This window comes from Homo sapiens, chromosome 17 (genome assembly GCF_000001405.40).
Source record: "Homo sapiens chromosome 17, GRCh38.p14 Primary Assembly".
Taxonomy (NCBI): domain Eukaryota; kingdom Metazoa; phylum Chordata; class Mammalia; order Primates; family Hominidae; genus Homo; species Homo sapiens.
In genome coordinates this window covers 63449393-63475697 of record NC_000017.11, presented here as the reverse complement: position 1 = coordinate 63475697, position 26305 = coordinate 63449393, and the positions used below count along the sequence as shown (strand labels likewise).

Sequence of the window (26305 nt, the reverse complement as noted above, 5' to 3'; positions counted from 1 at the left end):
GGGAGAAGGCAGGGCCTTGTTAAACACTGGCCGGCAGTGGGGCCGGGAGAGGAGAGCTGGGGTCAGGCCTGGCCCTGGCCCGCTTTGCCAGCCTCCCTCCTGACCTGCAGTTTTCCCTCACAACTCCTCCCTGCCCAGTTTGGCTTGGAGAGCCAGTGGATACCAGAGGACATGGGTGCACTTCTGGGCCGGCTACGTTGGTGGACGTTTGTGATCAGAGCAGCCCCATCGAAGGCCAGGGGCCAGGGAGGGCAAGGTGGTGGCCTGGGCTCTCCTCCCAGGAGCCACCCTGCTCTCAGGGGTCCTAACAGCTTGGCCTTCCAGGCTTTGAGGGCTGTGGGTGTCTGTGTGCAAATGAGCTGCTGTCTCCTGGGAGGAAGCAGTCTTTCTGTGGAAAGAGGCTTGGGTGGGGAAGAGATGAGAGTGGGGCTCTGTCAGCCTCTGAAGGAGGGGCCAAGGGAGGAGAGATGAGTAGAGAGGAGAAGAGCCTGAGGCCTAACCTGTATCCAGAGGCCCTCAGCCAGAGGCTGGCCTCGCCTCCAAAGAGTTCCTGAGAACCCTCTTCAGGAGGGTGGAGGGCGGGCATTGCTTCTGCTGGTTCATTCTCCCGTCTGACTCCAAGGCATTTCCACAATGTCTATAGACCCTGGGTTAGGGACTGTGTCAGCAATAAACAGCCTCCGCCTCCACTTCCGACAGGGTTGGAAGATAATGGAAGTCTTCCCCTGGACCTGGAGCAGCTGACACCAGGGCTGCTGGAGGCATCACCCTGCACCTCCCTCACTGTAACGCTTTATTAGAATGGCTTGTTAAATCCCCCAGCTTCATCACTAAATTGTATGTTACTGGAGGGCAGGGATGGCGTCTGCCTTGTTCTCTGTGGTTTTCTCAGAGTTTAGCATGGTGCCTAGCACAGGGCAAAACCTCATCGAAGGAAGGGTGCAGAGGAAAGAGGAAATGACCCACACTCGTATTCACACTCCGGGGGGTGAGCACACAGCCTTTTGCAGGAATAATATAAGAAGAGCCAGACTTCATTAATTTGGAATTTGCAATAATACAGACACTGCAACCTTGAGCCCAGTGAGTAAAAATTAAAAATATCTTCTATTTTTAGGGTCTTATTCATGAAGGAGAAGGATAAATAGAAATAAATAGCTTACATTTGTATAGTGCTTTAGTGCTAAATTCTTGTGTATAAACAATCTAATTTGGTATTTACAATAACCTTGAAAGGTAGGAAAGAGATAAGGCTGTCTGGGCAGTCAGCCACCTCCTCGGCTGCCGTCACAACAAAGGAGAAGGCTCAAATCCTGCAGGAGGATATCATTATGAATAGGCCAGTGCAGAGAGCCACAGAGACCTGACCCACGTGAGGTAACTCAGTTGGCTTGGGAATCTTTTCATCTCTCTTCCAGGAAGTACAGGTCACCAGTTACCACAGGAGAGAAAAACAGCCCTTAAAAATATGCTCAACAATGGAATAGAATTGAGAGTCCAGAAATGAACCCATACAATTATGTTCAATTGTTTTTGACAAGAACACTAGGACAATTAAATGGGAAAGAAAATATTTTTAACAAATGGTGCTGGGGCAATTGGATTTCCACATGTAAAAGAATGAAGTTGGACCCCTTTCTAATACCATATACAAAATTTGGGGCTGGGTGCAGTGGCTCATGCCTATAATCCCAGAACTTTGGGAAGCTGAGGTGGGCGGATCACTGGAGCTTAGGAGTTTGAGACCAGTCTGGGCAATATGGTGAAACCCTATCTCTACAAAAAAATTAGCTGGGCATGGTTGCGCATGTCTATAATACCAGCTACTTGGGAGGCTGAAGTGGGAGGATTGCTTGAGGCCAAGAGGTTGAGGCTGCAGTGAGCCATGATTGTGCCTCTGCACTCCAGCCTGGGTGACAGAGTAAGACCCTGTCTCAAAACAAAAAACAAAAAACAAAACAAAAGACTTAAAATAGACCTTGATGTAAGAACTAAAATCATAAAACTTTTAGAAGAAAACATAGGCAATAAATCTTTGTGACCTTGGATTAGTCAATGGTTTCTTAGATATGACACCAAAAGCATAAGTGATGAAAGAAAAAACAGATAAATTGGTCTTCATCAAAATTTAAAACTTTTGTGCTTCAATGACACCATCAAGAAAATGAAAAGACGGCCAGGCACAGTGGCTCACACCTGTAATCCCAGCACTTTGGGAGGCCGAGGTGGGTAGATCGCCTGAGGTCGGGAGTTCGAGACCAGGCTGGCCAATATGGAGAAACCCCATCTCTACTAAAAATACAAAAATTAGCCAGGCGTGGTGGTTCATGCCTGTAATCCCAGCTACTCGGGAGGCTGAGGCAGGAGAATCGCTTGAACCCGGGAGGCAGAGATTGTGGTGAGCCGAGATTGTGCCACTGCACTCCAGCCTGGGCAACAAGAGCAAAACTCCGTCTCAAAAAAAAAAAGAAAGAAAATGAAAAGACAACCCATGGGATGAGAGAAGATATTTGCAAAGTATGTACAGCAGCCCCCCCTTATCCTCAGTGGGTACATTCCAAGACTCTCAATGGATGCCTGAAATTGAAGAAAGTACCAAGCCCTATATACACTATATTTTTTCCTATACATACATACCAATAACAAGGTTTAATTTATAAATTAGGTGCAGTAAGAGATTAGCAATAACTAATAATAAAATAGAACAATTATAACAATATACTGTAATAAAAGTTATGTAAATGTGGTCTCTCTCTTTCTCTGTCAGAATATCTTCCTGTGCTATCCTCCCTGTTCTTGTGATGGTGAGCACAGTGACACGATACGATGGGGTGAGATGAAGTGAGGTGGATGATGTAGTGTTAAGCTGTGATGTAGCATTAAGCTACTATTGACCTTCTGTATTCTGCATCTGTGTAACCATCCCTTGCAGTGAATGGCTTGGAGTCACTTTTCAGGGGATCTTTTGCTGACGTCTTCTAGTAGGCTCAGTGCTTTGTGGCACCACAATCAGGACACATTTCTGTCCATGTCTTCACAAATATATAATGCCTTTTCCGTCTTTTTTTTTTTTTTTTTTTTTTTTGAGATAGAGTCTTGCTCTGTTGCCCAGGCTGGAGTGCAGTGGTGCGATCTCGGCTCACTGCAAGCTCCACCTCCTGGGTTCACGCCATTCCTCTGCCTCAGCCTTCCGAGTAGCTGGGACCGCAGGTGCACGCCACGACGCCTGGCTAATTTTTTTTGTATTTTTAGTAGACATGGGATTTCACCGTGTTAGCCAGGGTGGTCTCGATCTCCTGACCTTTGGTAGGCCCACCTCGGCCTCCCAAAGTGCTGGGATTAGAGGAGTGAGCCACCGCTCCCAGCCTCTTCTTTCTTTTTATTTTATTTTTTTGCAATTGTTATTTAGTTTTTATCTCATAATCATAAACTTAACTCTGAAATCCAGCTAGGCATGGAGGAGAATAAGGCAAACATGGAACCCAAAGGGAACTGAGAGATAGCACAAAGATTAGAGGCTACTGTGAGCAAATGAGGTGGAGGGTGCTCTCCTGAGCTACAAAAGGAATGATCTGGTGGTTAAGATAAAACACAAGTCAAACTTAGTAGAGTTGTCCACAGTCGGCAATGGTGATCTTCTTGCTGGTCTTGCCATTCCTGGACCCAAAGCGCTCCATAGCCTCCGCAATATTCATGCCTTCTTTCACTTTGCCAAGGACCACATGCATGCCATCCAACCACGCAGTCTTGGCAGTGCAGTTGCAAAACTGGGAACCATTTGTGTTGGGTCCAGCATTTGCCATGGAAAAGATGCCAGGACCTGTATGCTTCAGAATGAAGTTCTCATCATCAAATTTCTCCCCATAGATGGACTTGACACCAGTGCCATTATGGTGTGTGAAGTCACCACCCTGACACATAAACCCTGGAATAATTCTGTGAAAGCAGGAACTCTTATAACCAAACCCTTTCTCTCCAGTGCTCAGAGCAGGAAAGTTTTCTGCCGTCTTTGGAAACTTGTCTGCAAACAGCTTGAAGGAGACGTGGCCCAAGGGCTTGCTGTTGATGGTGATGTCAAAGAACACGGTGGGTTGACCATGGCTGGGCATAGATATACTATAATATATGTGACATGGCATGGCAGGGCTCCCGGCGGCATCGGAATCTGTGGTATGGGGTTTCTTTTAGGGGTAGTGAAATGTTCTGACATTAGTAGTGATGGTTGTACAACTCTGAATATTCTAAAAGCCACTCAGTTGTATACTTTAAAAGGGGGGATTTTATGGTATATGAACTATATCTTGATAAAACTGTTGTTTTAAAAAAAAAGTCCAAATGTTTAATTCCATCATTCTTTGTTAATCAAGAATTCTGTTTATGGATTGGTTTTCACAGAAGCTGTGGTTCTGTCCCCAAAAGTCCGCATACTCCTCTTTGTTTGGCCAAAGCTTGCCCATTCCTCAAAGTTCAGTTCAAGTCTTGCCTCTAACACGAAGCAGCCCTAGTTTCCCCAACCATGCTAGTCTTTTCTTTCTATATTCAGTTTTTTTGTTTTTTTTTTTGAGACAGAGTCTGGCTCTGTCGCCCAGGCTGGAGTGCAGTGGTGTGATCTCGGCTCACTGCAAGCTCCGCCTCCCGGGTTCACGCCATTCTCCTGCCTCAGCCTCCCGAGTAGCTGGGACTACAGGCGCCCGCCACTACGCCCGGCTAATTTTTTGTATTTTTAGTAGAGATGGGGTTTCATCGTGTTAGCCGGGATGGTCTTGATCTCCTGACCTCGTGATCCGCCCGCCTCGGCCTCCCAAAGTGCTGGGATTACAGGCGTGAGCCACCGCGCCCAGCTCTATATTCAGTTTTAACTGTCTGCATTTTCACGTGGGCACCAAAAGCACATGGAGGGGAAACAGCACTGGCCTACAGTGGAAAAATGGGGGCCACATTAACAAGCCTTATGATCTGTGCAAAATAACCTCAAAGAGCCTCAGTTTCCTCATGTGTACAATGGCTATGAAAATCTCTACCTGTCTTCCCTCTTAAGGTTGTGGGGAGATGACAGATCCTTTTTGAGCTGTAAAGCACCACAGAAAAAAAGGTGCTATTAATACTGTTAGAATCATCAGTTACCATTCCTTATATGCAAGGCGCTCAATTAAGAGAGAAGGGTATTAACTGCCTTTAATGTAAAAATTGAGCTGAAGAGGAAATTAGTTCTCCAAGCCTAAGTGCTGAAGTCTGGTATAAATAGTGGATATTAAGGGAGGAAGATGGTTCCTACCAGCAGGAAAGGACAGGCAAGACAGCTTCACATGGAGGAAGGCAGGGCTTAGCTTCAGAGAATCAGAGGGTTAGGGCCCCCAGGCAGGGAGCTTAAATCAAAAGTGGATGTGGGAGGAACCGGGTTGCTTGGAGGTGAGAATGGTTTGTTTAGACTCTAGACCAGCGCTGTCTAGTGGACCTTTCGGTTACGATGTGTATTAGTCTGTTTTCTCACTGCTACGAAGAACCATCTTAGACAGGGTAATTTATAAAGAAAAGAGGTTTAGACCTGGTGCGATGGCTCACACCTGTAATCCCAGCACTTTGGGAGGCCAAGGAGGGCAGATCACCTGAGGTCAGGAGTTCGAGACCAGCCTGGCCAACATGGTGAAACCCTGTCTCTACTAAAAATACAAAAAATTAGCCGGGTGTGGTGGCGCACCTGTAACCCTAGCTATTCGGGAGACTGAGGCAGGAAAATCACTTGAACCCGGGAGGCGGAGGTTGCAGTGAGCCGAGATTGTGCCATTGCACTCCAGCCTGGGAAACGAGTGAAACTCTGTCTCAAAAAAAAAAAAAAACAAAAAACAGAAAACAAACAAACAAAAAAACAACCATTGGATCTCGTGAGAACTCCCTCACTATCACAAGAACAGCAAGGGGAAGTCCGCCCCCATGATTCAATTACTTCCCACCAGATCCCTCCCTCTACACGTGGGGATTACAATTTGAGATGAGATTTGAGTGGGGACACAAAGCCAAGCCATATCATGATGGAAATGTCTGTCTAACATAAATATAATGAGAGCTGCATATATAATTTTATATTTTCTAGTAGCCATATTAGAAAAAGTGAAAAAGGTGTAATATTCATTTTAATATATTTTATTTAACCCAATATATCCAAAATAGTACCATTTTTAACATGTAATCAATATCAAAATTATTATTTCTTTAACCCCTCCACCCCCTTTTTTAAGAGATGGGGTCTTTCCCTGTCGCCCATGCTGGAGTGCAGTGGTGTGATCACAGCTCATTGTAGCTTCCAACTTCTGGGCTCCAGTGATCCTCCCACCTCAGCCTCCTGCGTAACTGGGACTACAAGGGTGCAGCCACCCCACACACAGCTCAAAAATTATTAATGAGATATTTTACCTTCTTGTATGTGCCAAGTCTTAAAATCTGGTGTGTATTTTACACATCTCAATTCAGAGGCTCAATTTTCAACAGAGTGAAATGTAGTCTTACTATAGCAATAAAGTTGTGTTTAATATAAAAACATTTACACTGCTTCCATTTTAAAATTTTATATTAATTAAAATTAAGACCAGGCGCAGTGGCTCACACCTGTAATCCCAGCACTTTGGGAGATCAAGGCTGGCAGATCACTTGAGGTCGGGAGTTCGAGACCAGCCTGGCCAACATGGTGAAACCTGTCTCTATCAAAAAAATACTAAAATTAGCTGGGTGTGATGGTGGGTGTCTGTAGTTCCAGCTACTCGGGAGACTGAGATGGGAGAATTATTTGAGCCTGGGAGTCATAGGTTGCAGTGAGCTGAGATTGCACCACTGCACCCAGCCTGGGTGACAGAATGAGACCTTGTCTCAAAATAAAAGTTAAGTAAAATTAAAATTTAGTTCCTAAGTCACACTGGCCGTATTTCAGACGTTAAGTAGCCACTAGTGCTGGCTGCTCAGTGCAGACCTGGGGTTAAGATCCTGTGGTAGGTTTTGAGGCTGAAGCTGAAGGCAGTTTCTCTATTCACACCTCCAGCCCAGTCCCCGCTGGGCTCCTGGCTCACACCCAACTGCCTTCAGACACATCTGTCTGGGGTCTGGATTATGACGGTGATGATGCCAATGAGGGTGATGAAGAGCCCTAGACCCCAGGAGGTCACCCTGCCGTGGAAATGCGGAATCCTAACTTTGCAAAGTACTTTAAGGCTCACCTAGGAATGGTTACCTCCAGCTGGGATCCTGGACCCCTAGGGGTCTGTATTAGTCCGTTTTCATACTGCTATGAGGAAATACCTGAGACTGGGTAATTCATAAAGAAAAAAAGGTTTAATGAGCTCACAGTTCCACATGGCTGGGGAGGCCTCACAATCATGGTGGAAGGTGAGGGACGAGCAAAGGCATGTCTTACATGGCAGCAGGCAAGAGAGTGTATGCAGGGGAACTGCCCTTTATAAAACCATCAGATTGGGCCAGGCGCGGTGGCTGACGCCTGTAATCCCAGCACTTTGGGAGGCTGAGATGGGTGGATCATGAGGTCAGGAGATCAAGACCATCCTGAATAACATGGTGAAACCGTCTCTACTAAAAATACAAAGAATTAGCCAGATGTGGTGGCAGGCACCTGTAATCCCAGCTACTCAGGAGGCTGAGGCTGAGGAGAATGGCATAAACCAAGGAGGCAGAGCTTGCAGTCAGCCGAGATGGCGCCACTGCACTCCAGCCTGGGCGACAGAGCAAGACTCCATCTAAAAAAAAAAAAAAAACCATCAGATCTCTTGAGACTTACTATCATGAGAACAGCATGGTAAAAACCTGCCCCCATGATTCAATTACCTCCCACTGGGTCCCTCCCATGATACGTGGGGCTTATGGGAACTACAATTCAAGATGAGATTTGAATGGGGCCATGGCCAAACCATATCAGAGTCCTTGAAGGTGCTTATGAGGGTCTGATGACTGTTTTCCAGACCTCAAAATATCTAACAAATCATACATTTACCAGAGGCGTGTCTACCCAGGGTAAAAACAGCAACATAGCCTATGCTTTCAGCTGTCAAGAGAGCAGCTCAGGTTGATAGCCCCAGTTCTCTCCATCCACATCACAGGCCCCCGGCTGCTTCTGTTAACTCTGCAGTATTTCCTGAGCCCCCTTGCCGCCAGGCATGTGCACGTCGGGGCTTGGGCCATGACCCAGCCAGGGTCCAGCTCCCATAGAGCCATATTCTGCACACGCATCTGGGTGGCAACAGACAACAAATAAATGTGAATCCGGGATGATGCTGCTTCGTGGAAGAGTACACCAGGCGAGGGGGTCAGGGAGAGGAGGGAGAAGGGTGCACAGATGGGCTGTTTGTTCTAAGGGTGGTCGGTGGGAAGCAAGGCCCCCGGGGAAGCATGGAGGACCCCCGCAGATCTCTGGGACTGGGATTTTCAGGCCAGGCACCGGCACCCGTTGCAGTGCCTGGGCCTTTGAGAGCCCTGTAGGAGTTAGTGCAGTGGTCACACTGTCGCTGCAGTAGAAACCTTGGTTGTTAGGGCGTTGGAGACAGGCTTTCATTTTTTAAAATGCCTTATTATTATTATTATTATTTTGAGATGGAGTCTTGCTCTGTCGCCCAGCCTGGAGTGCAGTGGCGCAATCTCGTCTCGCTGCAACCTCCGCCTCCTGGGTTCAGGCGATTCTCGTGCCTCACCCTCCGGAGTAGCTGGGACTACAGGCGTGCACCACCACGCCCGGCTAATTTTTGTATTGGCATCTCAGGTGATGCGCCCTCCTCGGCCTCCCAAAGTGCTGGGATTACAGGCGTGAGCCACCACACCCAGTCTAAACCTCTTTTTATAAATTACCCTGTCTAAGGTGGTTCTTCATAGCAGTGAGAAAACAGACTAATACACATCATAACCGAACGGTCCACTAGACAGTGCTAGTCTAGAGTCTAAACAAACCATTCTCACCTCCAAGACGGGGGTCTCCCCATGTTGGCCAGGCTGGTCTTGAACTCCTGATCTCTAGTAATCCACCCACCTTGGCCTCCCAAAGTGCTGGGATTACAGGTGTGAGCCACCAAACCCGGCCTTGCCTTCTTATTATGTAGCATATATACATAAACATGATATCTAATAAAATATATATGTAAGTTATGGAGCATAATACGAAGCGAGCACCCATAAACCCACCAGCCATCACCCTTGCCTCCAGCTTCATCCTTCTCTTCCCACCCCCATGCTCCTCATCTACTCCCCTGAATGCTGGTTTTTTCGTGTCTTTTCTTTTGGTTTTGTTTTGTTTTTTGAGATGGAGTCTCACTGTGTCGCCCAGGCTGGAGTGAAGTGGCACGATCTCAACTCACTGCAACCTCTGCCTCCCAGGTTCAAGCAATTTTCCCTGCCTCAGCCTCTGGAGTAGCTGGAATTACAGGTGCCTGCCACCATGCCTGGCTAATTTTTGTATTATTGTTATTATTATTATACATTTTTTGAGACGGAGTCTCGCTCTGTCGCCCAGGCTGGAGTGCAGTGGCGCGATCTTGGCTCACTGCAAGCTCTGCCTCCTGGGTTCATGCCATTCTCCTGACTCAGCCTCCCAAGTAGCTGGGAGTACAGGTGCCCGCCACCATGCCAGGCTAATTTTTCGTGTTTTTAGTAGAGATGGTTTTCACCGTGTTAGCCAGATGGTCTCAATCTCCTGACCTTGTGATCTGCCCACCTCAGCCTCCCAAAGTGCTGGGATTACAGGCATGAGCCACCGCACCCAGCCTAATTTTTGTATTTTTTAGTAGAGACCGGGTTTCGCCATGTTGGTGAGGCTGGTTTCAAACTCCCAACCTCAGGTGATCCACCACCTCAGCTTCCCAAAGTGCGGAGATTACAGGTGTGAGCCATCGTGTCTGGCCCTGAATGCTGTTATTATTCCCTTAAAAAAGTTTCAGTACTGGCCAGGCCTGGTAGATCACTCCTGTAATCCCAGCACTTTGGGAGGCCGAGGCAGGTGGATCACCTGAGGTCGGGAGTTCAAGACCAGCTTGACCAACATGGAGAAACCCCGTCTCTACTAAAAATACAAAATTAGCCAGGTATGGTGGTTCATGCCTGTAATTCCAGCTACTCAGGAGGCTGAGGCAGGAGAATCGCTTGAAACCTGGGAGGCGGAGGCTGCGGTGAGCCGAGATCACACCATTGCACTCCAGCCTGGGCAATAAGAGCAAAACTCCGTCTCAAAAAAAAAAAAAAAAAAAAGTTTCAGTACTTTATATGTATCTCTAAACATCATACTAATGAATTTTTCTTGTTGTAGAGCTTTATAATAACAATACCACCTGCGTTTGAATTCAAGGGAAATGAAAACACATCAGTGCAAAGACCTACACCCAAGGCAGCATCCTTCAAACTTGCGGAGAAGTGGAAGCCACTCAAATGTCATCAGCTGGTGAATGGATGAACAAAATGTGGCATATCGACATAGGTGGTTATTTGGCAATACAAAGGAATAAGGCTCTAATATATCCCACAACAAAGGGTGAAACCCCCAAAACAGGGTGCTAAGTGAAAGAAGCCAGACCCAAAAGACTACATATTGTAAGATTCCATGTATAGGAAATGTCTAGAAAAGTCAACTCTATAGAGACGGAAGTAGATGAGTGATTGCCTGGGGCTGGGGGTAAGAAGAAGGAGAAGTAACTGAAAATAGGGTTGAGGTTTATTTTTGGGGCGATAGAAACTTCTTTCTCTCAATTATGTTTCTGAGACTTTTTTTGTCGTTGCATAGAGCTGTAGTTCATTTATTTTCACAATTCTATAGTTTGTCACGTGATTATGTCACAATTTATTTCTCTGATCTCCTGTCAATGGACATTTGAGTTACTTTTTGTTTTTTGCTATTACAAAATGATTTGCCAGGAACATTTTGTACATGTCCCCTTGGTATACATAAGCAATTTTATATCTGTTGAATCTAATAGCAAGATATCAGGGCTTGTAAATTGTATGCCTTTTTTTCATTCCATTTTTTAGTGGTTCATTTTTATTGTATTTTACAAGAAGGATTATTCCCCAAACAAACTGGAAATTAACACAGAAACAAGACAGGTCCTCCACCACAGTTTGAGAGAAGTACTGCTGTAGGGAATACACTGGGAGTAAAGTCACTGGGCCAAGGCTGTGCAGGTGTTCAAAGGTATGCAAAAGTTCAAGGGTATCCAGATGTCAAATTGCTTTCAAAATAGTTGCACTGATTTGCACTCCCACCAACAGTGGATAAGAGTTCCCACATTGCTCCATAGCTTCACCAACACTTACTACTGTCCAATTTTTTAATTTTTGCCAATTTGAGGGGCATGACATTTTCATTACCTTGTTGCTGATGAGGTTAAATATCTTTGCATATGTTTACAGGACATGTGTGCTTTCTCCTCTGTGATATTCCTGTTTGTGTTCTTTGCCCATTTCTTTTCTTTTCCATACTGATTCTTAAGAGTTCTTTATATATTCTTGATATTAATCCTTTGTCATTTAAATGTGTTACAGATATCATTTCCAGTCTGTGACTTGCATGAATTTCTTTGGTGGTGGTGGGGGGGTGTCTTTTGATAAACAGGAGGTCTTACTTTGAATGCAGTTGGATTCTATCTCTTTTTTCTTTTTTGGCCAGCTCCTCTTCACTCATGCTGTTTTCCTGGGCAAAGCTCCCGCACGGCCCTCATCAAACCGACAAGCCTTTTTTAATCTGCACCCTGCTGCTTCCAGCCTCCTCTCAGTCCCACTTTATACTCAGTAGTTTATTCCAGAGCTGATGTTTTCACCTCTGAGTCTCTCTGCTGCAAAGACCCTCTTTTGTCTGCTTGTAGAACCCCCAAGTCATTCCTCAAACCCCACTCTGGCACAACCTCTGCTTCTCAGAAGCTCTTCCAGACCCCCAAGGCTGAGTCACTTCTTCTATTCAGTGAACCCCAAGCTGAGCATCGGATGATTGATAGTATATAGGTTTTTCATTACTCAAATGGGACAATTAGGCTGGGCGCGATGGCTCATGCCTGTAATCCCAGCACTTTGGGAAGCCGAGGCAAGTGGATCACTTGAGGTCAGGAATTCAATACTAGCCTGGCCAACTTGGCAAAACCCCATCTTTACTAAAAGTACAAAAATTAGCTGGGTGTGGTGGCGGGCTCCTGTAATCTCAGCTACTCGGGAGGCTGAGGCAGGAGAATCACTTGAACCCAGGAGACGGAGGTTGCAGTAAGCGGAGATCATGCCACTGCACTCCAGCCTGGGTGACAGAGCAAGACTCCCTCTCAAAAAATAAATAAATAAATAAAATAAAATAAAATAAAGATAAAATGGGATAATCACTACTTTTAATAAGTGAAATTTATTTAAAGTTAATTTTAAATTTCAAAAAATGAGATTCTTTAAGAATGGGATGCTTGGAAGGGGAAAACAATCGGGAAACGCTGCTCTCTGGCCAGTAATGTCTCTGGTATCCTCGACATCATCCTGTCCACATCCGAACGTTTTCAAGGACAGAAGCTCACTACTTCTGTGGGCTGAGCCACTGTGGTTGTTAGAAATTGCTTTGTTATGCTAAATGTGTCTCCTGCCTCTTCTTTAGGTTTATTGTTTTTCTTTTTCTTTTTTTTCTCTTTTTTTTTTTGAGACAGAGTCTCGCTGTGTCGGCCAGGCTGGAGTGCAGTGGTGCAATCTCAGCTTACTGCAACCTCCGCCTCCTGGGTTCAAGCAATTCTCCTGTCTCAGCCTCCCAAGTACCTGGGATTATAGGCATGCGCCACCAAGCCTGGCTAATTTTTATATTTTTAGTAGAGACGGGGTTTCACTATGTTGGCCAGGCTGGTCTTGAACTCCTGACCTCAGGTGATCCACCCACCTCGGCCTCCCAAAGTGCTGGGATTACAGGCATGAGCCACTGCCCCAGGCCAGGCTTATTATTACAGGCATGAGCCACCGCCCCAGGCCAGGCTTATTGTTTTTCACTGTGCTTTCTAGAGAAACAATGAGTCTTTTCTCTTTGACATGGCCACTGTCCAAGATGAGAGGTAGCAACCCCATGTCTTTTTTTTTTTTTTTTGAGACGGAGTCTCACTCTGTCACCCGGGCTGGAGTGCAGTGGCGCAATCTCGGCTCACTGTAAGCTCTGCCTCCCAGGTTCACACCATTCTCCTGCCTCAGCCTCCAGAGTAGCTGGGACTACAGGCGCCCGCCACCACGCCCGGCTAATTTTTTGTATTTTTACTGGAGATGAGGTTTTACTGTGTTAGCCAGGATGGTCTTGATCTCCTGACCTGGTGATCTGCCCGCCTTGGCCTCCCAAAGTGCTGGGATTATAGGCATGAGCCACCACACCCGGCCACAACCATGTCTAAGCATGTCTCCTTTTCTCCAGGAGAAACACAGTGCCTTCAGTGATTCCCGGGGAGAGAAGTTCTCTGTATCCTGATGCTCTGTCATCTTCTCATGGATGGACTGCAGATTTTCCACATCTCTCCTAAACTATGCTGCCTGTATTTAAGTAAAGCCTGTGGGCTGGCCTAACATGCGCAGAGGGAGCCCTGGTCCACTTAATGCAATTCCTTCCCTTGGTGCAGCCGAAGAGGGCTGAGGTTGTTCTGGCAGCCTCCTCACCTGCTGCAGCTCATATAGAAACTGAGAGTCAGGCCGGGCGCGGTGGCTCACGCCTGTAATCCCAGCACTTTGGGAGGCCGAGGCTGGCAGATCACGAGGTCAGGAGATCGAGACCATCCTGGCTAACACGGTGAAACCCTGTCTCTACTAAAAATACAAAAATTAGCCGGGCGTAGTGGCGGGCGCCTGTAGTCCTAGTCCCAGCTACTCGAGAGGCTGAGGCAAGAGAATGGCGTGAACCCAGGAGGCGGAGCTTGCAGTGAGCGGAGATGGAGCCACTGCACTCCAGCCTGGGCGACAGAGCGAGACTCCGTCTCAAAAAAAGAGAAAAGAAACTGAGAGTCAGTGCAAACCCTCAGATCTTTTCCGTATGAAAGATGGCCAGTTTGTCGATGTGCATCTGACTTCTCTCTTTTAAATGCTGACTGTCAAGTTCAATCTTAATTTCTTTTGACTCACTCAGCAATCCCATCTTAACTCTCACGTCTCATTTTAGCTCTTCCCCTCAGTTTTCGGTCAAGCACAAACTTACTAAGCAAGATGTTGTTTTGTTTTGTTTTGTTTTTTTTTTGAGATGGAGTCTAGCTTTGTCACCAGGCTGGAGTGCAGTGGTGCGATCTCAGCTCATTGCAACCTCCACCTCCCGGGTTCAAGCGATTCTCGTGCCTCAGCCTCCCAAGTAGCTGGGATTACATGTGCCCATCACCATGCCTGGCTAATTTTTGTATTTTTAGTAGAGATGGGGTTTCACCATGTTGACCAGGTTGGTCTTGAACTCCGAACCTCCAGTGATCTGCCTGCCTCAGCCTCCCAAAGTGCTGGGATTACAGGTGTAAGCCACTGTGCCCGGCTGTTAGGTGTATTTCACCACAGTAAAAAACAATAAATTACAAAAAATGGTGACATGCCAGGGACAATGCAGTGTGGCAACTCATCTGGCCCTGTCTCCAGTGTACCCTGCTATAGGATGTCAGGCCCAGAATCCCAGGAAGCAGGGGAGGAGAGGGAGGTACCTCTTCATTTCAGGCCCAGGATACAGCCCAGCTCTGCCGTGGCTGCGGACAGTGACAATCTATCTCTGCCTCCCAGGCCAGGAACATGTGAGTAAGCTTTGACTCATATCTGTCTTTTCTCCTATTGCCTAATCTTGCCTGGTCTTAATTAAAAATGTCTCCTTCCCTTTCTTACACTCACTCATTCCTCCGCAGGTTTTCACCGAGACCTACAAAGAGCAGTCACCGACCGTGCCCAGACACCTTGGTGAGCAGGGACAGCCTGGTCGCACTGTTATAGGAAAGGGGTCCCGATCCAGACCCCAAGAGAGGGATCTTGGATCTTGCTCAAGAAAGAATTCAGGGCGAGTCTGCGGTGCAAAGGAAAAGCAAGTTTATTTAGAAAGTCAAGTGGTGAAAGAACAGCTACTCCATAGACAGAATAGGGCATTCCCAAAAGTAAGAGGAGGAATGCATCCACCCTAGGTACAGTGCTTGTATATATATAGGATAAAAAAAGATCATGGGGAGATGTGCTCTGCTACAGGGTTTGTGATAAAGGATTCTTTTTTAAAATTACCAAATTTTGCAAGAATCAATATTATTATCTTTGAAGCAAAATTAGGAATGCCTTTGTTCTCGAGATATCGGGATATCTGGACACTCCGAAGTTTGGGTTTGTTAGTAAACATTATTAATCCATTTCCTTAACTGTAAACATCTAGAGGCTGGGAATAGCCTTCTGGGAATGCAAGTCCCAACTTCATTTTCCTAGCCCTCACTCAAGATGGAGTCGCTCTGGTTCAAATGCCTGTGATACCACCTCTCCAGGCTCCCGGGATGTTTAAACAAGCCACTCCCAGAGAGGCGATATGAAAGGTGCAGGGCAGGCCCTGAGCCCTGGCCACAGGCGATGCTTAAGCTGAGCCCTGAAAGGAGGAGTAGGAGTTCAGCAGGCAAGTTGTTAGAAGACTCGCATTTCAAGCAGAAGGTCTGGAAAGACGTGCTGACTGATCGGCAGGAGGCTGTGAGCTGTGGATGATACGGAGACTGCAGAAGCTGAGGCCATGGAGCTAAGGCGGGCTCAGACTTCCTCCTGAGGGCAACAGGTTTTTAGCTGGGGAGGACCATGACCAAATCTGCCTTTCCCAGTCACCTCTCTGATCTCTTTGATGCAGTGTAGATCTGTGCTTAGCAAACTCAGAAGGCCCTGTCACCACCAGGAAGGAAGAGACCCCACGACTGAGGGCAGTGGTAGGTTTAGGGGCTGGCTGCAGGTGGGACCGAAAGGGATAGCTGTGGACTGGCTGGCTTTGGGGGGGGGGTGAAGAGTGGAGGGGGTGATGATGCCTTCTATGGGGAGGGGGACATGCTAGAAACAGTTTTGGGGGAGGTGGGAAGGAGGGTAAGCAGATGAAGGATTTGGGTCTTGGACATGCTGCTAGTTTGGCTTTGACGGTGCAGGTCCTCTGCTATGATGTGAGTGGCTGTGCCCGCCAGTTCCTCTTCTCACTCCCTTCTAGGGCTATGAGATTTGTGACCCTTTCCTCTGCCTGCCTCTGCCCCTGCCCATTGGGACCCTGCTGGACCAGGCATCCATCCTATGGAAATCTCCATGAAGCGTCGACCTCCCTGCCCCCCAGGCATTGGGTGAGTGGCAAGTGAGAGCTGCTCACAGGGCATCAAAGGGGTTCAAAATAGCACCCAAGGCCGGGCATGATGGCTCACGCCTGTAATCCCAGTACTTTGGGAGGCTGAGGTAGGCGGATCACCTGAGGTCAGGAGCTCAAGGCCAGCCTGGCCAACATGGAGAAACCCCGTCTCTACTAAAAATACAAAAATTAGCTGGGTGTGGTGGTGTGTGCCTGTAATCCCAGCTACTTGGAGGCTGAGGCAGGAGAATAACTTGAACCCGGGAGGCAAAAGTTGCAGTGAGCAAGATTGCACCATTGCACTCGAGCCTGGGGAAAAAGAGCAAGACTCCATCTCAAAAAAAAAAAAAAAAAATTGCACCTAAGCCCAAGCCCAGAAGGTGGCCCCGAACCTGGGCCTTCCTTTGAAGCCAGGCCTGGTATTTGCCAAGATCGTGCCTCCTGCCCCCACATCACCAACGTTAACTGCCCTCCATTAGCTGGTGCTGCCTGGGTGCTGCGTGGGCGCTGGCGTGTGAAATGGCAACATGAGGCCGTGTCTACTGAGCCAGGCATCTTAGTGCTTTACACAGAGAAGTGAAACCTCCTAGCAACCCTGTGAGTTAGGTACCATTTGATTCCCATTTTTCAGATAAGGAAACCAAGGCACAAAGTGGTTGGTAGGTGGACTAAGGTCACCCAACAAATGGAGGCAAAACGGGACACGTGTCCCCACCAGGAGCCACCAGCTGTCCCTCCTTCTCCATCCCACAGACTGCGTGAAGCCCTGGGCTACTCTGGCTGGATGGTATCAAGTGTCACATTCTGTGGAGCCAGGATGTTCCTCCAATCCTTTAATCCCAAATCTTTTATTGTGTTTGTTTTGTTTTGTTTTGACAGAGTCTTGCTCTGTCGTCCAGGCTGGAGTGCTGTGGTGCAATCTCAGCTCACTGCAACCTCTGCCTCCTGGGTTCAAGTGATTCTCCTGCCTCATCCTCCCTAGTAGCTGGGACTACAGGTGCGCACCACCAAGCCCGGCTAATTTTTGTATTTTTTGTTGAGACGGGGTTTCACCATGTTGGCCAGGCTGGTTATGAACTCCTGACCTCAAATGATCTGCCTGCCTCAGCCTCCCAAAGTGCTGGCATTACAGGCATGAGCCACCATGCCTGGCCTAATCCCAAATCTTAAACCTACTTTTCCTGGTTCTGCCTCTAGTGAAATCAAAGATCCCTCCGCTGCTGTCCCTATGGGAATGTGGACAGGGATGACACCTCTCGCCAGCTCTGGGTGGCCCCTCTGGTCTGGTCCTTTGCTGCCCAGCTCCTCAAGTCCTCCTCAACACCCCTCTTCTCCAGCCCTGCTGCCACTCTCCCCACCTGAGTACAGACCCTCATCATTTCCCACTGGGCCCCCTCTTCTCGTCCCCCCAGTCCCTCTCCCTAGTCCATTTATTTATTCTATTTTGAGACGGAGTTTTGCTCTTGTTGCCCAAGCTGGAGTGCAATGGCGCGATCTCAGCTCACTGCAACCTCTGCCTCCCAGGTTCAAGCGATTTTCCTGCCTCAGCCTCCCAAGTAGCTGGGATTACAGGCATGCACCACCACACCCGGCTAATTTTGTATTTTTAGTAGAGGTGGGGTTTCTCCATGTTGGTCAGGCTGGTCTCGAACTCCCGACCTCAGGTGATCCACCTGCCTCAGCCTGCCAAAGTGCTGGGATTACAGGCGTGAGCCACTGTGCCCTGCCCCTAGTCCATTTTTTTTTTTTTTAATTGATCATTCTTGGGTGTTTCTCGCAGAGGGGGATTTGGCAGGGTCACAGGACAATAGTGGAGGGAAGGTCAGCAGATAAACAAGTGAACAAAGGTCTCTGGTTTTCCTAGGCAGAGGACCCTGTGGCCTTCCGCAGTGTTTGTGTCCCTGGGTACTTGAGATTAGGGAGTGGTGATGACTCTTAAGGAGCATGCTGCCTTCAAGCATCTGTTTAACAAAGCACATCTTGCACCGCCCTTAATCCATTCAACCCTGAGTGGATACAGCACATGTTTCAGAGAGCACAGGGTTGGGGGTAAGGTCACAGATCAACAGGATCCCAAGGCAGAAGAATTTTTCTTAGTACAGAACAAAATGAAAAGTCTCCCACGTCTACCTCTTTCTACACAGACACGGCAACCATCCGATTTCTCAATCTTTTCCCCACCCTTCCCCCCTTTCTATTCCACAAAACCGCCATTGTCATCATGGCCCGTTCTCAATGAGCTGTTGGGTACACCTCCCAGACCGGGTGGTGGCCGGGCAGAGGGGCTCCTCACTTCCCAGTAGGGGCGGCCGGGCAGAGGCGCCCCTCACCTCCCGGACGGGGCGGCTGGCCGGGCGGGGGGCTGACCCCCCCACCTCCCTCCCGGACGGGGCGGCCGGCCAGGCAGAGGGGCTCCTCACTTCCCAGTAGGGGCGGCCGGGCAGAGGCGCCCCTCACCTCCCGGACAGGGCGGCTGGCCGGGCAGGGGGCTGATCCCCCCACCTCCCTCCCGGACGGGGAGGCTGGCCGGGCGGGGGGCTGACCCCCCCACCTCCCTCCCGGACGGGGCGGCTGGCTGGGCGGGGGGCTGACCCCCACACCTCCCTCCCGGACGGGGCAGCTGGCCGGGCGGGGGGCTGACCCCCCCACCTCCCTCCTGGACGGAGCGGCTGGCCGGGCAGAGGGGCTCCTCACTTCCCAGTAGGGGCGGCCGGGCAGAGGCGCCCCTCACCTCCCGGACGGGGCGGCTGGCCGGGCAGGGGGCTGATCGCCCCACCTCCCTCCCGGACGGGGAGGCTGGCCGGGCGGGGGGCTGACCCCCCCACCTCCCTGCCGGACGAGGTGGCTGCCGGGCAGAGACGCTCCTCACTTCCCAGACGGGGTGGCTTCTGGACGGATGGGCTCCTCACTTCTCAGACGGGGCGGTTGCCGGGCGGAGGGTCTCCTCACTTCTCAGAGGGGGCGGCCGGGCAGAGACGCTCCTCACATCCCGGACGGGGCGGCAGGGCAGAGGTGCTCCCCACATCTCAGACGATGGGCGGCCGGGCAGAGACGCTCCTCACTTCCCAGATGGGATGGCTGCAGGGAAGAGGCGCTCCTCACTTCCTAGATGGGATGGCGGCCAGGCAGAGACGCTCCTCACGTCCCAGACGATGGGCGGCTGGGCAGAGACGCTCCTCACTTCCCAGACGGGGTGGCGGCCGGGCAGAGGCTGCAATCTCGGCACTTTGGGAGGCCAAGGCAGGCTGCTGGGAGGTGAAGGTTGTAGCGAGCCGAGATCACGCCACTGCACTCCAGCCTGGGCACCATTGAGCACGGAGTGAACGAGACTCCGTCTGCAATCCCGGCACCTCAGGATGCCGAGGCTGGCGGATCACTCGCGGTTAGGAGCTGGAGACCAGCCCGGCCAACACAGCAAAACCCCGTCTCCACCAAAAAAATACGAAAACCAGTCAGGTGTGGCGGCGCGCACCTGCAATCGCAGGCAGTCGGCAGGCTGAGGCAGGAGAATCAGGCAGCAGTACCGTCCAGCTTCAGCTCGGCATCAGAGGGAGACCGTGGAGAGAGGGAGAGGGAGACCGTGGGGAGAGGGAGAGGGAGAGGGAGGGAGAGGGAGAGGGAGAGGGAGAGGGAGAGAGCTAGTCCATTTTTATACATGGCTCTGAGGATGCTCCAATCTGACCACAGCTTCTGTTCACTTAGCGCCCTGCCCCGGTGTCTCATCACCTTGGGGATAAAATCCACACTCTGAGAGTGAGTGCAAAGTCCTTCCTGGCGTGGCCTCTGCCTCCTCCATTTCCTCAGGCCTTGCTCTACCACACAAGTCCCTCTATTAGTGCCTCCCGATGGCCAGCTCCCTGGCAGGGCTGATAGTGATAAAATGTTCAGTAGTCAGCAATAAAGAGGCAAAAACAGCAACACTGATTTATAGATATGAAATCAACCAGATGTATCAGCCAAGTTGCCAGCATTCCTTTCTTGGTCACAATATCTTTTATTCCAAACATCCTTTCTATTTATTTTTTGTAGTTAAGATTTTATTACTTCTTTTGTAAAACGGTGGTGAGAATAAGGGACTATTTTTTTTAAATGTCCTTACTTGGCAAACTAAAAAATGTTTGCAACTCTAGTAAGACTCCACTGGGAGCTCAGGGGCTGGGGTGCCTGATCTGGCCCTAAAGCCCCACGACACTGACCTGGTGCCTGCGTGATTCTTCTTCATTGTTCCCAGACAGGGGCCAGGAAATGGAATGAAAGCAGCCACTGTCTGAAGAGCTGGAGACCATCATCTGCCTCTGGAAGCCCAGAGAACCTCGGCTCAGACAGAAGGACAGAGACTGAGGGAAGGGAGAGAGACTGTGACAGAGAAGCAGAGGAGGGTGACAGAGTCAGGGAGGAACAAAACAGCCTGCAGTGGGAGCAGAGACAGAAATGTGGGGGACCCACAGGGAGGGGAGGGAGGGAAGGGGAGGGACGGAGGGAGGGACAACTGCCGTCCAAGTGGCTGTGAGAGCCTGGGGCTGGGGAGAGGCACCCTCCTCCTGTTGGCTTCTCATACAGTCTCTATCAGGGGACCCAGGACACAAGAAGCAAATTCATCTTTGGGTCCACCCTTCAGCTCTAGAAGTCTAGGGCCTGGCCAGGTCCTCTGAAGGGGTCTCTGGCCCCAGGCAGCTTCCTGCCCCCCTGCGTGGCCCCCCAAGCCCTTCTCAAGAGCCCTTCAGTAAATAAATTCACTGGAAGACATCAATGATGGGTCATAGGAGGTGTTCCTAGGGGAGAAAATGACATTTAGTTTTTAGCTCACTTGGAGCCATTTGCTTTAAGAAGCACCTCTTGGCCAGGCGCAGTGACTCACGCCTGTAATCCCAACAGTTTGGGAGGCCGAGGTGGGCGGATCACCTGAGGTCAGGAGTTCAAGACCAGCCTGGTCAACATGGTGAAACCCTGTCTCTACTAAAAATACAAAAATTAGTTGGGTGTGGTGGCATGTGCCTGTAATCCCAGCTGCTTGGGAGGCTGAGGTGAGAGAATCGCTTGAACTCAGGAGGTGGAGGCTGCAGTGAGCTGAGATCACACCACTGCATTCCAGCCTGGGTGACACAGTGAGACTATGTCTAAAAAACAAAAAACAAAAACGAAGCACCTCTTGAGAGAGCTTTGCATGCAGATGTCACAGGCAAAATGCCTCATGTTGTGGGGAATGTGGCAGTGGACTTCTGGGGCCAGGCTGAGGCCCCCACGTGCTGTCCCCCTTGGGAGCAGGGCAGGGTGGCTGGGTTGACAGATGTGCAGAGAAGGAGAGAAGTGGGGGCAATGCCTTCTCTCTGATGGTCAGCTGGCGGGAAAGGCTCCAGGGGCTTCTGAGGAGAGACCCTAAGAGGACTCTGGATGGGCCTCGGCTGGGGGAGGCTGGTGCTGACCTGGCACGTGGGCACTGTGGGGGTGCAATGGGGGACAGTGTGGGAGGTGTCATGGGGGGTCTTTACACTGGGTACTAAAGAGCTTAGGAGCCTGAGCTACCTGGTGTGGGGCAATCACATTTGCTGCTGTGTCCAGGCAAGGAGGAGCAGGTGGGCTTGGACCCCAAAGTGACATGAAGTGGCCAGGACTGAGCGCTGGGCCAACGTGAGCCCCAGGGGGTGCTTGGATTTATCAGCTGAAGAAGGGCCTATGGAAGGGGAGAAAACAATCCTCCAGACAGATGAGAGCACTCAGTCACATCCACCTGGACCTGACATCACCTCCCAGGCTGTGCAGGGGCACACACAGAACTGGAATGGGTAATGACTTATTAGAGCCTCCTTCCAACAGCTGTGGGCCCTGGAACCTAAGAACCCACCTTTGGAGAACATTTTTGGGTCTGAGAGCTTTGAGGCCAGGCCTTGAGACAAACCCACCCAGAAGCCCTGAGCTACTTTTGCTGTAAGAGTAGGAGGGCCCTGCCCCTGCTCCAGGAGCCGCCCCTTGATCCCTGGAAGAGAAGGAAGCACTGACTGATCCAGAGGGGCGATGAGTCCAGAGGCTGAGATCAGCTGGAACCGGGCCACCAGCTGAGCGTGTGATTCCTCTGGCTCCAGGCCACCTCTGAGGGTCTCCCAATGGCTGGGAGGGATTAGAGGACTGTGGCTTCTTGGGTGAGGGAGCCTCTGGGTTACAGTCACCGTGCCCTTTGAATCTAATCTGCTCTCGACAAGAATCAGCTGACCTGATAGGCATGCTCAGGCAGGAGGCAATGGCCAGGGCCAAGAGAAGCATAAGGATGGAGTAGAGGAGGGAGCAGAGCAGGGTCAGGTGAAATCTCTCACTCAGGACAATTGTGCAGCTGACTTGCTGATACCTTGGAGGAGTCACGAAGTTCAGTGTGCCCAGTTGGGGCATCTTCCAGGCTGTGGCTCCATCACCCTGCAGTTTTGGCTCAGAACAGCCACCACATCCTCACTGCTCTCCTGGGATGAGAAGGTGGGTGGAGAACCAGGGGCTTGGTGCGTGGCCAGAGCTGGAGCAGCTTCAGGAGCCAGGTGAAACCTCAGAGCCTCACAGGCTTTGAACAAAGTGCAGGAGTCCCAGCCCTGCCATTTATGGCGGGTTCCTGGCGGTGATCAGTCATTATCAGCAGTATGTTCACTCTGCTGATATCACCCAAGGCCATGATCATCCCTTACCCCAGGCCTTGCACACTTGCTTCCCTGTCCTAGACAGCTGGGGCTGTTCCTGCTCTTCGCTGCCCCTGGCACTCACAGAGCAGCTGACTGACTGACCTACCAACTTAGGGAGAAAAGTGGGGAGGTGGGGATGGAGGACACTCTGGGGATACAGCCTCTTCGTGATTTCCTTCCTGGAGGGGAGAGGCGGCCAGGGCAATGCAATGCTGGGGCTGCAGTGCCTCCGCTCAGCCACAGCACTGGCTGCAGGGCAAACCCTCAGGACCAGATGAGGGGAGCTCAGCCTGATGTCCAGGTTCGCTGGCATGTGAGGGACGTGGTCAGGCACAGCTATAGCCATGGGTCTATGGACGGTTCCTGGATCCCAGGAATTGCTGGTGGGGTCCCTGATACACACCTCACGTCTTCAACCTCTGCCCTCTCTGATGGCCTGTTGGCACTCCTCCTGCCTATCTCTGCACACTCAGCGACTTTCCCCTTTGATGGGGACAGGAGTGGAGGAGGGCAGGGCAGGATGGAGACACCATACACATTCCTGCTCAGTGCCTTTGCCCTCCCTCTTCCATCCATGGGAGTCACCTCCCCTAGACCTTCATGTGGCCTGCGCCCCCACTTCTCCCTCCCAGAGCCTTCCTAGTGCCCCCAACAAGTGCCTGCCCTCGCCTGACGCCCTGTTTGTCCCCTTCTGCCTCTTCTTCATGCTGCTTGTTAGGTTGAAACATAACATCTGTGTTTCAAAACACATGCAGTCAGGTTTCTGTGCATGTGTGTATGTAGATATAGATTGTGGTGCAATCTCAGCTCACTGCAACCTCCTCCTCTTGGGTTCAAGCAATTCTCGTGCTTCAGCCTCTCGAGTAGCTAGGACTACAGGCATGCACCACCACGCCTGGCTAATTTTTGTTTTTCTTTTTGTATTTTTTTTAGTGGAGATGGGTTTCGCCATGTTGGCCAGGCTGGTCTGGAACTCCTGGCCTCAAGTGATCAGCCTGCCTTGGCTTGCCAAAGTTCTGGGATTACAGGTGTGAGCCACCGCACCCAGACGTTAGTTTACTTTTTAATTCCCTGTCTACCCACTTCTTGTAAGTTACATGAAAGCAGACACCTTGTGTGTCTGATCTGTTACTGTCTCTCCAGGGCCTAGGATAAGCAGGTGCCAGTAAGCCTTTGTTGGAAGAAAGGAAGGAGAGAAAATGGACCTCCTCTGGATGGGATCCTTGGCTCCTGCGTGCTGATGTGCAGCCTGTGACCCGGGCTCTGCACTGCTCCTCTGGCTCCAGGCAATCATCATGGAAAGGGCGGCCTCCCCAGAGGGCTGCCTGGGAATGAACTGGGCATCTGGGGAAGCCCATTCCTTTGGCTGCCTCTTGCCTGTGGCGCCCAGGGCTGCCGTGCCACCTCCTTTGTGAAGCTGGTCCCCAGCCCTGCTTATCAGCCCCATGTCCCATTCCCTTGGGCCCAGCAGAGGTAAAAGTGGCTAAGTGGCTTAACTGGGCCAGGTGCAGTGGCTCACGCCGGTAATCCCAGCACTTTGGGAGGCCAAGGCGGGTGGATCACCTGAGGTCGGGAGTTCGAGACCAGCCTGACCAACATGGAGAAACCCCGTCTCTACTAAAAATACAAAATTAGCCAGGCGTGGTGGTGCATTCCTGTAATCCCAGCTACTTGGGAGGCTGAGGCAGGAGGATCACTTGAACCACGGAGGCGGCGGTTGCAGTGAGCTGTCATTGCACTCCAGCCTGGACAAGGAGAGCGAAACTCCGTCTTAAAAAAAAAAAAAAGGTGGCTTAACTGTCCTCTCTGTCATGGCCTCTCCCTCCCTCTTGCCCCAGTGGTATTTGGCTCTTTTGTCTGTCTTGTTTTTCCCAGACTGACCAGCCTTGGGGTTAACCAGGGGCAGGGTGACAACTCACAGGCAATGACGTCCCTCAGCCTCCTTCCCCCCACACTCCAGAGGCTGCAGGTGACTCAGGGTCTTCGTCGGTGGCTCCGGAAGCCTTGCAGGTGCCCTGCCACATGGCCGCTGTGCTGCTGGCTGCTCTGACGGGTCCTGCCGGGGCTACTGCTTTCCTGTCCCCTCCCCCGAAGCTGGGAGATGGATTTCCTCCCTGAGTGATTAATTGGTCTATTTTAAGCTCATCAAAGTAGCCTCGTACTTTCAAGTTCCTCAGGGAGCAGGCCCGGAAGATGATACCTGCGGACTTAAGGCTGCTCCACTGCAGGATATGGGGTCGGGGGCTGTGTCTGTCAATTGTGAGGTCCCTCAGGGCAGGCCCCCTCCTGAGCTGGACAGGGCTTGGCTCCTGAGTGCTGATTCTGCAGGCTGTGGCTCAGTTCTGCACTATTACTCTGGCTCCGGCAAATCCTCATGAAAATAAGCCTGGGAGCCCCGAGGGTTGCAGGTTAGCCCCCTACAGCCTTCCCTTGCATCATCCTTGCTCCTCTAACCAGGGACACTCCTGCCTCCTCCCTGACTATCTCTGCCGGGTTAACACCTGAGCATCTTCTGGCTCGATAATTCTGTCATGACCCAATACGCCTTCCCTGACCCTCACATCTGGGTTGAGGGCCTTCCTATGCCCTGTACCTAATCCTGGTTTTCCCTCTGTAAGGTGGTCAGAGATGGGCTTGGGCAGAGTAGTTTCAAAGGCTCTCCCCAAATCTCTGTGCAGCTCCCCTGACTGAAGGCCTGTGAGAACAGGGTGGTGCCTGTCTTGTTCACTGTTCCCCAATACCTCACCTAGTGCCTGGCACAGAGAAGGTACAAAAATAAAACTTTCCCAAGAATGAATGGTGTGCATTTGAATCTTATAGTGTCTGAGGACTGGGGAACCATCTCTTATCCCTTTGTATCCTCTGCTGCCCAAGGTCAGGGCCTCTGCCTGAAGTCCCTACTGAATGAGGGTTAACTGGTTCAGAGATGAGGGAGGAAGCCATTGCTGGGAGGGGCTAGAACTGGGCCCCTGCCCTTCCCACACCCGAGCAAGAGCAGTAGGATTGTCAGATGAAACACAGGACATCTGCTCACATGTGAGGAATACATCTTTTTTTTAAGACAGATTCTCTCTCTGTCACCCCAGGCTGGAGTGCAGTGGCATGATCTTGGCTCATTTCAACCTCTACCTCTTGGGTTCATGCCATTCTCCTGTCGTAGCCTCCCCAGTAGCTGGGATTACAGGCATCCACCACCATGCCTGGCTAATTGTTGTGTTTTTAGTAGAGACAGGGTTTTGCCTCATTGGCAGGCTGGTCTTGGACTCCTGACCTCAAGTGATCCGCTCACCTCAGCCTCCCAAAGTGCTGGGATTACAGGCATGAGCCATGGCACCCAGCTGGAATACATCTTTAGTATACTGCATGTAATATTTGG

General features: G+C 50.5%; 1 pseudogene, besides 4 other annotated features; it reads right to left on the bottom strand.

Annotated features, from left to right (window-relative positions):
- On the bottom strand, window positions 3396-4103 carry PPIAP55 (peptidylprolyl isomerase A pseudogene 55; annotated as a pseudogene).
- Window positions 14787-14856: an enhancer, noted in NCBI's record as "active region_12545". NCBI's record gives its function as "activates an Ori minimal core promoter by ATAC-STARR-seq in GM12878 lymphoblastoid cells {active_cell/tissue: GM12878}" and the evidence as "EXISTENCE:reporter gene assay evidence [ECO:0000049][PMID:35858748]".
- Window positions 18000-18858: an enhancer, noted in NCBI's record as "NANOG-H3K27ac-H3K4me1 hESC enhancer chr17:61534201-61535059 (GRCh37/hg19 assembly coordinates)". NCBI's record gives its function as "activates a minimal SCP1, AML or CMV promoter by ChIP-STARR-seq in naive H9 embryonic stem cells {active_cell/tissue: H9 hESC(naive)}" and the evidence as "EXISTENCE:reporter gene assay evidence [ECO:0000049][PMID:30033119]".
- Window positions 18859-19717: an enhancer, noted in NCBI's record as "H3K27ac-H3K4me1 hESC enhancer chr17:61533342-61534200 (GRCh37/hg19 assembly coordinates)". NCBI's record gives its function as "activates a minimal SCP1, AML or CMV promoter by ChIP-STARR-seq in naive H9 embryonic stem cells {active_cell/tissue: H9 hESC(naive)}" and the evidence as "EXISTENCE:reporter gene assay evidence [ECO:0000049][PMID:30033119]".
- Window positions 24512-25012: an enhancer, noted in NCBI's record as "H3K4me1 hESC enhancer chr17:61528047-61528547 (GRCh37/hg19 assembly coordinates)". NCBI's record gives its function as "activates a minimal SCP1, AML or CMV promoter by ChIP-STARR-seq in naive H9 embryonic stem cells {active_cell/tissue: H9 hESC(naive)}" and the evidence as "EXISTENCE:reporter gene assay evidence [ECO:0000049][PMID:30033119]".